Genomic DNA, 13,738 nt, shown 5'->3' on the forward strand with positions numbered 1-13,738 from the left:
AACTTGAAGCTCCATCCAGTATGCAGCCCCCTTTCCCTGGCTACTCTGTGTACAAAAGATTGCGGCCGTGAAGATGACTTGTGGTGCAGTGGTCGACAGGCCTCCCATAGCACTGGATGAATACATGACATCAAGCGCCTGTGTTGTGTGTGTGCTTGGGTGTGTCTGTGCACGTGTGTGCATGTTATAGGAGTGGGGGAGGGGCACAGATAGCTCCATCTCAGCTTTCCAAATAACCTCTGAGTTAGCTCAAAAATTTGCCTATAAGTCCCACTTGGAGGTGGATCGCCCCAGGGCATCTTCCCGCAGCCACAGTGAGACATGCAGCCTCCTCCCTTGTAGGATGCCAGTCAGGAGCCTGCTGTGGTTTCCTTGGCCCCATCAATCACCTCACTACATAACCTGATTACTTGATGCTGAAAATCAGTTGTCAAAATACTAGAAACCTGACACTCTCTTTTGTTTCTTAATTTCTCTTCAGCTACTTAAAATCAGCTATCCCTTTGCATTAGCTGTAATACATGCCAGCTTGCATTCACTCAAGAAAGTCTGTTGTCTACCCTCAGAGATGTAGGGTTCATCAAAGCACAGGTCCTGCCTTTCTTGTTGACCCATTTACCCCAACGCTTACAGCTCCTGCAACATATGTACATTCTTGTTTTAGCTTAGATTCCCTAGAAAATGATTGAAGCAAGGCATGAGTGCCAATGTTTCACAGAAAAGTGAAATCCCAGGGCAGCAAGAGTGAGGGAAGAGAGAATTAAATTAGAGGTAAGTGGTAAGCAAAAACAAGGTGATGTATTACACCTCTGGCCTGCTTTCAGTGAATGCTCAGCTACCGGGCCATCACTTGACAGGTGACTCTCGAAGACAGGTGGATGTCACGGGACAGCTTGTATGGAAAAGCTATGCACAGAGTAATCTGCTGAATGGAGCAATGGAGAGGAACTTCTTCCTCTAATATGGTTTGGCTCTGTGTTCCCACCCAAATCCCATCTCAAATTGTAATCCCCATGTGTCTAGGGAGGGACCTGGTGGTAGGTGATTGGATCATAGGGGTGGTTTCTCTCATGCTGTTCTCGTGACAGTGAGGGAGTTCTCACAAGATCTGGTGGTTTGATAAGTGTCTGGCGCTTTCCCCTTCTCTCTCTCTCCTGCCACCATGTAAGACATGCCTTGGTTCCCCTTCACCTTCTGCCACGATTGTAAGTTTCCTGAGGACTCCCAGCCATAAAGAACTGTGAGTCAATTAAACCTCCTTTCTTTATAAAATACCCAGTCTCAGGTAGTATCTTTATAGCAGTGTGAGAATGAACTAGTAGACTCCCCATCCCCTGTCTACTTCTCCCATAGGTCAAAAGGCTCCCGGCATGAAATTAACACTTCTTTACTTCTGGGTTTCATCACTTGAGGAAGCCAGACTGCAAACCCTGAAGTTCAAGGCCTATCTACTGGATGCGTCTGTCCCAGATGGCTGGACAACATTGCCCGCAAAACCCATGTGACCATGGGAATTATGAGGGTCAGGAAGTAGTCCAAGGTCCTGGGTCATGAGTTGTGGACAAGAGAATTTGAGGAGACACAAATGCTGGGTCTGACAATGATATCTGTTGAATGAATGGAAGTGGCATAAAAGGCATATCGATGATAATCCATGCCTTCGATTATTCTCATGTCTCACTGGAAAAGATAGAATTAGGAAGCAGTGAGAAACCATTTAAGGGCCAAAGTGAAAGAACATCCTTGAGCAAGAATGAAAGTTTGGTGAGGAAGGGTCCAGGGAAGGCAGACACGTCGCTGCCATTCCAAGCACCTGATTTTAACCCAAATTGTTTTGTACACGTGCCCTTTTATGGTGAATATGTCACAATTTGTGTTATAGTTAATAAGCTGTAATGGCAACATAGCCTGTAAGAATGCATGTAACTGATGCTACAGCTTTTTAGAGTGGAGTCTAAACACGTAAATCAAATCTCGGTCTGTCTTCACACTCACTTCTTGATTATAAATTATTTCAAATGTAAAATTTCAAGCTAAAAAGTACAGATTAAAAAGATGGCTTATGCAAAAGAAAATGAAGTAACTAAGGCTAAGGTTTCCTAAAGTGGAGTCAGAGATTGCAGGAGGAGTGCACTCACACCTGCTAAGGGTCAAACCACAGAATGTTCGAGTAGACTTGAAAAAACAAGGGATGTCGGTATCCCCGGCCTTCAACATCCCCTAGCTGGATGTACCCTAATTAACCAATCAGAATGGGTTTGCCATTTAGGATTTCTGCCTAGCCAATGGACTACCTCCAGAAACAACGTTTTGTAGAAATCTCCTGTTAGAAACTTCCCCTGTGCTTGCCTGAGAGGACACTCTTTGGGGCTGGCCTGATTCAGTGTACCCAAACTGCAATTCTTTGTCTACCAAACTAGTGCTACTCCTTGGACCTCCATGTCAATTTTTGTCAATTTTTGTTTTTCTTTTTTTGAAACAGTGCCTCACTCTGTTGCCAAGGCTGGAGTGCAATGGCACAAACATAGCTCCCTGCAGCCTTGACCTCCTGGGCTCAGGGGATCCTCTCGCCTTGGCCTCTTGAGTAGCTGGGACCACAAGCACATGCTACCATGCCCAGCTAACTTTTTAATTATTTGTAGAGATGGGGTCTCACTATGTGGCCCAGGCTGGTCTTGAATCCCTGGCCTCAAGCAATCCTCCTGCCTTGGCCTCCCAAACTGCTGGGATTACAGGTCTGAGCCACCACATTTTGCCTGTGTCATTTTTGTTAAATTAATGCTTATAAAATGCAAGATTTTCTACAATTATTATAGATTGAAAAATTATGTGTGACTTCCTTTGAAATTTTGCTAGGAGGATCATATTATTATCTTCATTTTGCAGGTAAGGAAACTTAGGTTGGGCACCTTGTCCAAGGCTGCTCTGCTGGAGTCCTCTGGCTCTAGAGTCTGTGCCTGTAGCTTCCAGTCTATGCATCAGCTCAAACAGCACTTGGCTTCAGTACCAGGTAAGGGAGATGACCACCTTACGGGCCCTAAAGAAATGAAAGAGGACAATTTGTTTTCATAGGTAGTGTTTTCCAGAAGTGTCTTGAGCAAGAGAGAATCTCTTGATATGGCTTTTCACAGCCATTCTGACGCTCATTTCGAATCTGTATTCCATTATCCTAGAAGTGGACTAATGGGCTCTTCATCTCATGAGATAAAGTCCATCCACCTAGTCAGCCTCAGCACTCAGACATCTAAGACCAAGTGTTTAGGACTTCAGTGATCTATGTTTCAATTCTAACTAATTATCACCGGCTATTCTGCTACTCCACAGACAACACAGGGATAGAGACAGCCTAACCAACGTGATCATTATTTCTGCCAGGTTGACCAAAAGGCAGTGCCAGAAAACAACTCTACACCCTCAAAGTCATGAGGCTGAGCCTTCCACAGTGCACCTCTGTTTGATACCCAGTGCCACCTCTAACAGAAAATTATAATAATATGACAATGATTCACTTCCAGAAAGTAATTTGAATCTGTGCCAATGAGGAATGCCTGCCAGACTGCATTGCACTTGTCTTTCTTCTGCCCACCACAGCAAATTCAGGTCAGATAATTAGCACTCATCTTTATGCCTTATGCTTTCTGAATTTCTGCAGTACTATGAGTAGGAGGTAAAAGTTCTGAAACGTTCCATGAGGTTGTTGTTGCCATGGAAACCACTCCCTTGGAATGCTCATACTTATTCCCAGTTGTTGAACAGCAGAAGATGCTCCAACCTAAATACTGAGAGTCTTAAAAGCCAGGCGGAAGGCTGGAGGGTGCTGGGGAAGTTCAGGCTGTCCCCAGAAGGTGACTGTGAGGATAAAACAAATTAGGAAGGAGGAGGACAGAACCCTCGTTCTGCTCCCTGACAGGTGATGGGACTCAGACCCTCACACCTGTCCTTGTAACATGTCAATCAGGGAGCTCCACGCCCAGCCTCTATGCTGGGATATGATCTTCCACCAGTGAGAGGCTTGCCTGAGCTGGCCTGACTGCTTGTAACTCCCTCCCCTGCAGCTGACTGGCTGTATAACCTTGGGTGAGCTGCACCCACTCTCTGGGCTTCAGACTCTGCACCTCTCTAGAAATGAAGGCATTGCTTCAGCTGTGCAACAGAAGGACGGAAGTTCCTATGAATGGCTGCTGGGTTTGAGGCCTTCTCTTGTAGTGGATAAAGCAAAAATATCCTACGAGGTTAGGTTGGGGCTGCCCTGTCTGTAGAAAGAAGCTTGCAGGAGTGATGATAGCATGAGGTCTTTGTTCAGATGTTGCAGAGAGGTGGTTGTTTTGACCGTCTTTAGTTGGTTTCACAGGAAACCACTATCAGTAAATTTCCCATTTGACTTTAGATCATTTCTAATAACATTGTGAAGAATAGGGACAGTGAGAAAGATGAGGCCATTTCAGTCCTTGTAACTGGCTTGAGAGAAGGGCTGATGGGTATATCTATACCTCTTCTAAAGATGAAGAGACAGAGGTTCAAAGAAGCTCAATGGCAGTGCGTCACAAGAGGCTCATGTGCCCAGGCCTCCAGTTCTTCCCAGCTCAGCCTTGGGTTTCACACGCTCTCAATTTGAAAGGAAAAACACCCACCCAGTTCTCAGTTACCCCATTTAATTGCTAGGAGAAGTGTATAGGTTTTAACTTGAATCTTAGTCCCTTCTAGCTTGTGGGGGACACTGCCAACAGCGAATTTAATTGTTCTGGGGAGGCATGAATGTGTGTTAAGCTTTTAAGACATATTCTTGCTAAGTGAAATGTAAAGAGAAAGTCTTTGAACCTGCCCTCCAGGCTGGAGAGAGAGTACAAGGCCAGCCTGTGGCAAAAGCACAAAGACAGAAAAGGATGAAGAAAGAGAAGCCCTCTCGGAGGAGGACGTGTTGGAGGCAGAATGCAGCAGTTCCCATAGGCAGACCGTCCAAGAGTAGAGGGAGAACGGGGCAGGTGGATGCTGTCTTAGAGACAAGCCATGGGGGCTTCTGGGTTCTCTGTTCCAAAACAATGTGGGTAGCCTTTTTTGCACGCTTCCTTTCAATCAGTTGCACCCGAAACTTCACAAGAGCAAAGAGGCTGACAGTTTCTATAGGAAAAGCTACTTCTTGAACAGTTTCTGAAAGTCTCATTTTAATGTGGAGATGGGAACTTGAGTGGGTATGAGAACAAGAGGGCAGGGAACAGTGCAAAGTTTAAAGAAAAGCGAAACGGCCCTAAAACATGCATATGACTGATCCTAACTGGAGCATATTTTCCTTGAATTTAAAGTCAACTTATACGACCTTCATGCTGGACTACACAGTGAGTATCACAGGCTATGTGGGTTTTGTTTCTGATTTTTCAAGCTCTAAGTAGTTCATTCATATTTGGGAACAAAATATCCCCATTTTAAAATTGATTTGTAAATAAAGCTGACTGCAAACCCATTTGGAATTCAAGCCCTTTCATTTGATACAGAATTAAAAAAACAGAAGTCGGCCAGTAGCCATCGGTTGGGATGAGTTTCAGGTTTGTTTTTGTTTTTGCTTTAAAATATAGTGCAAAATAATTTGAAGCAAAATTCCCAGGAATATCATCTGGGGCAAAGACAATCGAATGCTTAATGAAGTCTATTCCTGAGCCTGCTATTTTTATCCCCCGTTCATCTTTGCCAGTGTCATCTCCCGGAGCAGCAGGCGGTGGCTGGGACGGCAGCACAGAGAAAGCCCGGCACAGGCTCCGCTCAGAGCCTCAGGATGTGGGGAGGCTTCTACAGATGACCAGCTTGGTGGCGTCATCATCCCCACCTGGAGGTGTTTCTGGGCTGGAACAGAGACACACCCCAAGACATGCCAAGTTCCTGTCTAAGGAACAATCTCCAGTTCCTTGGCAGATTGCTAATAAATATTTCCAGTAGGAAGGAGACCTTATCTGGAACCAAGAGGCATGTCTGTAAGAAACTCTTATGAAGTTGTCGGGGTTCAAGTTGGCCTTCCTGTTGTTCAACCTGGTGGAGAATGTTCCTGTGGGCCTTGGCAGCAAGTCAGCATTCTTCGTTGGCATGGAGTCCTAGGAAAAAGAGGTACGGGGCACCTTGAACACACCGGGCAAGCAAAGAAGAATGCACGCGTCTCCTCTCTCCAGGAAGGGCTCCTTTCAGAGACACGCTTTGTAGCTCAGCTGTTTGGGGGCCGTGGCAGGCACCTGGGCCCTGGTCACACAGTGGCTGTGGAGCCTGTCCCTGTCCCTTGGGAGCAGCCTGTGCCTCCAGCTCTTCAGCCTTCCGCTGCTCCCACTTGCTGGCTGTGGCTGTGGCTGGGTGGCATTTGTTTTTGTCCCAGGGCTGCTGCTGCCAGCCAGCAGGTCTCTGATGTCACCAGCCGCAGGTCTAGGGGTCACCCTAAAAACATGCGCCTCACTGACCCCCTTACAGCTCCTCTCCTGAGAAGGTTTCTGGGTGCATTTATCCATATGGGGAGCCTCCCCGGCAGGCCACAGGGGAGCAAGGAGAGATTCCTTCCTGGTTACCCACCCAACCATGCTTCATGCTCCAGACCAAGTAGGTTTTCTGGGTCCTAGTAAAGTCTTCCAATTCCCCCAAGCTGTGAAAGCCCAGAGGCGGCTGTCATCTTCTGTGCTGTGGCTGTTTCCAAAGCCAGGGCCGCTGTGGGACGCTCTCCCCTGGTTTGCTTTTCATCGGAAGCGGCTGCAGCTCTTCTGGGCTTTACCGCCGCCGGGGCCCTCCTATTTTCTTCACCATATTGAAAAGGCATTTCCTAAATTCATAATGTTTTAGACACATTGTGGTCTCGGGATTGAATTGTGAAGTCTGCATGGACGGGGGTCTGGCCTGCCCTTCAACTCTGCCCCCATTTCCTTAAGGAATTGGTGAATGCAGATACTCTACTTTTATATTTTGACAGCTGCCTGTGTTTTCTCATTTGATTCTCATAACCCTGGGAAGTAAGTAAGGCCAGAATTTTTATTCCCATTTCTCAGATAAGGAAATGGAGGTTAGAGAAACATGAATGAGGCACATTTGCCATGCAACTTAGCACCTGGAACCTGACCTCAGGATTCTGAGTTCTAGCACAGCCTTTCTCCACTCTCCAGGCTCTCCACCCTGAAGCCAGTCGCATATCACCCCAATAAACAGTTACAACGCCTCTGCCAACACAGGATCCCAAATTGCTGCCTCCGCCTCATCATCTTTCCCTTCTAGGCATGAGACTTTCCAGAAAAGGGCACAGATGGACAGAGCATCCTATGGTTCTGGAACCAGATGTATAATCTTAAGTCTGTTTTTTCCCCCTTTCAGAATTAGCATTCCTTTATCTCATTCCTAACTATTCAGTCAAGTGTGTTAAATGCTGCGTCCCAATGCTTGTGTGCGTTTAGTGGCTGGACATAGGCCCATAGCCTTCAGCAGCAAGAAGGACCATGTTGCAAGGTCCACAACAGCCGTGAAGAGTGAAAGATGGACAGGAAATGTCAGCCTCCCTAGCGACCCCTGAAAGTCCTCAGGAAGGAAACTGGACTTTCTGCAACATTTCAGTCCAATTTTTTTTTTTTTCTTAAAGCAAAGGGAGCCTCCAGGAAGCTGGACATCTGGGGACCTTTGGGTGACCTTAGTCAGTCTTAGCAGTTTGAACTTCATCTTCTGAGTTCCCCCTCTGGGCAATGGGGAGCAACCCATTGCTGCTCAGCTATGGCCGCAACAGATCCAGATTTCTGTCTGGGGTCTCTCCACTGGCAGAGGGAAAAGGGAGAAACAGGTGAGGTAGCAGGAAAAAGGCCCAGAAGGAAGAGAAAACCCAGTGAGAAAGTGGCAAGTCACTGAAGCAGGGAGGCTGCAGGCCGCAGCAGGAGGGCGCCACCCTGAGAATTCTCAGGAATCCATAGACTTGGACATTGACCAGGGAAGGGGGTTAGGCAGAGGGTGATAGAGGTTTCTGGAGGCTTGGCTGGGTATGCTCCCGACCCGGTTGCCTGGAGAGCAGGGTCACAGGTGGTGCTGCTTTGGTGAGAGAGCTTTCCAGAGGTGCCCCTGTGAACCCTGAGTGCTTCTGGTTGTGTCTGTCCTCTTTGTTCTGCAGGATGCTCTTTTCTTCCTCAGCCTGCGTCATCCTGGAAGAGACACCTCAACCCAGCCCGACTCCAGAGGAGTCCTGGGGGCTCTGCTGACCGTTGCAGTGCCTCCACCAGAAAAATGTTAGGTGACAACGTTGCAGGTGGATAGAAACCTCCATCCCTGAGTGAGTGAGGGACGAGGGGAGCCCAGGGAAGTGCCTGGTTCTGCCTCCTCAGTCTGATCTTCTTGAAGCTGCCGGGTCACTGCTGATTTGCCTTCTGGCTGAAGGCATTGTCAGGATGAGAAAGAAGTGAGTGGCATACTCCGACAGTGCCACGGGGCAAGGACAGGTGTGGCAACGTGGAAGACTCCTGTGAAACTCACTGAGATGCTAGAGGGAGGAGAAGGGGTGAGGTAAGGAAAAGTGGCTGGACAAACTTGGATTTCCTCATGTTATCAAAGGAGTCTCCATCATGCTGGCTCCTGGGCACATCTGCTCACCTCCTTCCCCTGATTCCTGCGCCGCAGCCACCAGGGCCAGCCCCTGCACTGGCAGCAGCATCTTTGCAGCCAGCTCCTCCTTGAGCCTTCAGCTCCTCCCACACTCAGACCTGTGTAGACCTACTCTGGAGGGTGCCCAGGAGTGCTGGGGAGGAGACGGAACTTCTAGCGGTTGCTAAGGATACAGGTTCAATTTCTTTTTATGTACATCCTGAGAGAAAGGCTCTCCAGTCCTCAACAATGCAGCCATGTTGGATAATAGAAGGGGAATTTTTTTTTCTTAAGGATTTGCTAAGAAATGAACACCAGAAACCAATACTTCATTCTATTCATAATAATTTATTATGGCAGAAACAAATCAGTACAAAATAAAAGCAACGATAGCTGAAATGCTTGCTGTAAAGCTGTCAGAAGAATCAAAATTTCTTGTACATCCAGATCTGTAAAAACTGATCTAGAAAATATTAGAGTTAAAAACTACTATGACCACAATAGAAAGTATAAAACTGGCAAAGACTAAAATGAATAAACGATATGTAGACAAGATACTGATCTATGAATCAAAACTTGACTGCAAAATTTATTTGGGAGAAAACTGATCTTGATGAAAATAGTTTTGGTGAAATAATTCATTGACCAATTTTCTATATGGCAGCTAAATATTTCAAGTGTTTCTATTTTTATTTGAAATGGGTTTAACTGGATTTGCTCCAGAAAATACTTTATTCACAAAAACCCAATGTTGATAAATTTTTTTCAAATACTTACATTCATAAACTGTTGTCAAAGAATTCCCAGAATGAAAAATATGTGGAAAAAACAGCAGAATCAAAATGCTATGGACCAACTTCTGGTTCCAGACAAGATGGAGTAGACAAATTTCTCCCTAACTCCCTGACTAAGAGTAGCTAACAATCCCAGACCTCATATGTGAAATAAACATACAATTCTGAATGGTGGAACGAAGAATGCAATGAGCTAGGGGACCTGGGCCTCGAGAAACAGCATAGTGGCAAGTCCCCAGGGGTTATCTTTTGCCTCCTTTATATCTGGAATGAGGCACTGGAGAAGTGTGCAAATCAGAAACGTCAACAGACACAGACCAAAAAAAAAAAAAAAAAAAAAAAAAATAGACCCAAGAAAAGCTGGAGCTCTGTAGATTAAAGAATAGGGCCAGGGATAAAAATAATCTTAGACATTAGAGCAAAAACATGATCCATAAATGAAAATTTTGAGAAATCAAACTACATCAACATTTAAAACTTTTGCTCTGCAAATGACTCTGTTAAGAGAATGAAAACAAAAACAAACAAACAAACAAGAACCAAGATACATACTGGGAGAAAATACTTGCAAGCCACATATCTGACCGAAAGATGCATAGAAAGAATGATCAAAATTCAGCAGTAAATACCAACAATTCAGTTAGAAACTGGGCAAAAGATAGGCCATTTACCAGAAGATATATGGATGGCAAATAAGCATATTAAAATATATTCAAGATTATTACCCGTTAAGGAAATGCAAATTAGAATCACAATGAGATACAATTACACACCTACCAGAACTGCTAAAACAAAAAAAAAAAGTACTTGGAAGTAATACCAAGTACTGTCAGGGATACAGAGAAACTGGATCCCTTATATGTTGCCTAGGGGATGCCAATGATACAAACGCTCTGGAAAATCATTTGTCAGTCTTAAAAAGCCAAGCAGGCACATAGAATACCACTCATCAGTTACATTCCTGGTCATATACCCCAGAGAAATGAAAACTGATGTCAAACAAAAATCTGAACCGAAACAACCCAAATCAACAACTTCTGTGAATGAATGGCTGAACAAATTGCTGCATGTCCATATAATGGAATACAGCTCGGCAGTAAACAAGAGCAAATTATCGCCGTACACAACTGGGTGGCTCTCCACAACATTATGCTGAATAAAAAAGCCAATATCAGAAGGTTATATACTGTAGGATCCCCTCTCTGGAACATTCTTAAACTAACAATGATACAGATAGAAGGTGATTAGTGATGCAAGTTTTGGGATGGAGGAGGAGGAGAAGGGAAATGGATGTGACTGCAAAGTGATAGAACAAAGGGGACCCCTGTGATGACAGGGCAGTCCTATTCCTTGACTCGGTGATTCCACCAACTGACATATGGGCTAAAATTGCATAGAACTAAATACAAACACACACACACACACACATACACACAAGTACATGTAGAACTGGCAAAATCTCAATTGTGCCAATGTTAATTTTCCGGTTTTCATTCTGTGCTATAATTACATAAGCTTTCACCATTGGCAAAAGCTGTGTGAAGGATATAGGCATCTCTCTAAATTATCTTTCCAACTTCCTGTGAATCTATTACTCTTTCAAAATAAATAGTTAAATGCAATGTAATGTGCCCACAAGCCCAGGGTTTACAGTAGACGCGACTTACTCTTAGCTCAAAAATCCTCTGGCCTGACTCATCTTGGCTCATTCCCAAATTCAACCTTGATAATTAATAAGGATTGTTTTTACATTGATAATATTTGCCATTTTCCAAATCTAGCAAATTCCTTTGAATCCCTATGGTTTTACATATGCCGTTTTCCTCATTTAAAGAATATTAATTCCCCTTCTCAGGCATAATATCAACTCCTCTCCTTAGAAATTCAGCTCAAATTTCATTCCTCTGGTACATGCATTTTAATGAGAATTATATATATATTAACCATATATTAATTATATATTAAAGAGAATTATATAAATATATTTGTATGCATATATATTACACATCACATATTGATCATATGTCATACAGCACGTGTCACATTATAATTGAATCACAGCTTCCCTCAAGGAGCCATATCTTTGATGAGAATATGTGGGTAATTGGGATTCAGGTGCCATAAGAGGGATGGGTGCCGGAAGGTCTAAATATTCTCAATCTGCATTGCAAATCTGAAAGTTTGTGTGTGTGTCTGCACGTGTGTGTGAGCATGCACACACAAATATATACGTATATACACATACATGCATGCTATGTTGCCTATATATAAAGATATGTAAAGTGTATGAATCCGTTCTCACACTGCTATAAAGAACTACCTGAGACTAGGTAATTTATAAAGAAAAGAGGTTTAATTGGCTCACAGTTCCATAGGCTGTACAGGAAGCATGGCTGGGGAGGCCTCAGGAAACTTACAATCATGGTGGAAGGCAAAGGGGAAGCTGGCATGTCCTACATTGCTGGAGCAGAAGGAAAAGAGCGAAGCTGGAAGTTCTACACACTTTTAAACAACTAGATTTCATGAGAACTCACTCACCATCACGAGAACAGCAAGGGGGGAGCCTGCTCTCATGATCTAATCACCTCCCTATAGGCCCCTCCTTCAACATGTGGGGATTACAATTCGACATGAGATTTGAGTGGGGACACAGAGCCAAACCATATCATATAGTATCTTTATGGGGCATGGATATATGTAATGCATATTTATTGATTATATACATGTATACATGTATGTGCATGTATGTACACACATTCACACATAAGCATACTCTCTTGGCTTTCTATCAAGGTGTGTATGTATATCACCATGTGACATAGATACAGATGGCACATGTAATACGCCTGCATCTGTACACACACACAAAGAGCCCACCATGGGGTCTTGGTTTCCGAAATGCAGATGGATAGTGTTCTCACTGCACAGCACCTGTTTCACCAGAGTTCTGTGCACTTAGTCCCTGCTCAGCCTGCAACTTTCTGGTTGTCCACCCAACGCAGACTTTTGTTGCCTGTCAGAACAGAGCTCCTGATGTTCCCAGATCCCAGGTCAAAATCCCTCCCCTCCTTCCGGGATTCTGCATCTGGTGCTGACTCCCAGATTTTGACTACAATGGGGGTGAGGGGGAGCCATTACTCCCCAGCTGGGCAGCAGCAACTTGCGCTCTCTTGGTCACAGCCTACCCCGTGGCTCAGTGGCCCCTGAGCTCTCCCAGGCAGGACTGGGCAGCATTCCAACTCCTGCAGCTTCAGAGTCTATGCAGTTCATGGAGGCACCTCCTCTCACTGGACACCCTTTCTCACCTTGGGGGAACAGAGGGCAGAGCACCCACAGGATGCCTGCACAGCATGGGTACCTGGCTATAGCTCCATTTACGACCGCTCTGTCCTTAATGTGGCTGGAAGTCTGAGACTTGTGGGATCTGTTCTTAGCCACTTCCTTTGTGAGTTCTGCACACCCCAATCTGCCCGACACTCACTTTGGCATTTACTTTTATCAAATTTAAACTGAGTGGAGAAGAGTTTATTATCTCGTTCAATATCCTTTACCAAAATTATTTGGTGATGAAACAGATGAAGAGAGGGGAAAACCAATCTTTTCCAAGAGATCTTTGCAGGCAAACACCCAAATTTCTGAGGCCTCAGAGTCCCTTCCACATGGAGCATCTAGAACATTCTACACTAATCACTGGCCACGTTATGACAGAGCCAGACACAAGAGCAGCCCTTGCTGGTCCAGAGTTAACTCAAACACCCTATGAGTGCCTCAGCCACATGAAACTTTATTGACAAGTGACACCCGGTCTGTTTCAGGGACTTTGGGGGAAAAACAGTCTCTGGGGCCCCTTCTCCATCTTTTGAAGATGTAGACGCTCAGGCAGGCAGATGGGGTTGGCAGCTTGCTCTCTTGATGCAACTCCAGGTCAGTGTTGGGACTGCAGCTGCCCCAGCAGGTCATCTGCTCTCTGAATATTATGTGTTAAGAAATCATAGTTGGGCAATGTGTTCCCAGAATCACTGTATTCTCCAAGTATAGCTTACATATGTCATTGCTTGTATTTTATGTTCCTTTGACCTGGCTGTTACTTTCCAGTTGTTTCAAAAGCTTAAGACTGTTTTGTTATAGAGCTGGAACTTTTTAATACATGGCAGCAACATTTCATAAAATTGCAATGTCTAAAATGTCAAGTGTAATTGAAAGAATTTTGTATTTATTTCAGCTGTAAAACTGAAGGGAAACATTTGTATTACTTTTAGTCTTTTGTAATGCTCTGTGTTGATTTGTTTATTTTGCGAAAGGCACTACCCTAGGCTCCAGGTTTTCAAGGCGAGGTAAGAGCCAGCCCCCGCCCCGGGCGAGCATGGGAA

The 13,738-nt window shown here is 44.8% G+C and overlaps 1 long non-coding RNA gene across 1 annotated transcript; it reads left to right on the forward strand.

Moving 5' to 3' along the window:
* Positions 1-3,760: 3,760 nt before the first annotated feature.
* LINC02667 (long intergenic non-protein coding RNA 2667) lies at positions 3,761-7,199 on the forward strand. Its single transcript, NR_148990.1, has 5 exons — positions 3,761-3,845; positions 5,301-5,333; positions 5,687-5,824; positions 5,929-6,093; positions 7,125-7,199. It is a non-coding gene; the product is annotated as a long intergenic non-protein coding RNA 2667 (long non-coding RNA).
* The last annotated feature ends 6,539 nt before the right edge of the window (positions 7,200-13,738 follow it).

Source organism: Homo sapiens, chromosome 10 (assembly GCF_000001405.40).
Source record: "Homo sapiens chromosome 10, GRCh38.p14 Primary Assembly".
NCBI classification, from domain to species: domain Eukaryota; kingdom Metazoa; phylum Chordata; class Mammalia; order Primates; family Hominidae; genus Homo; species Homo sapiens.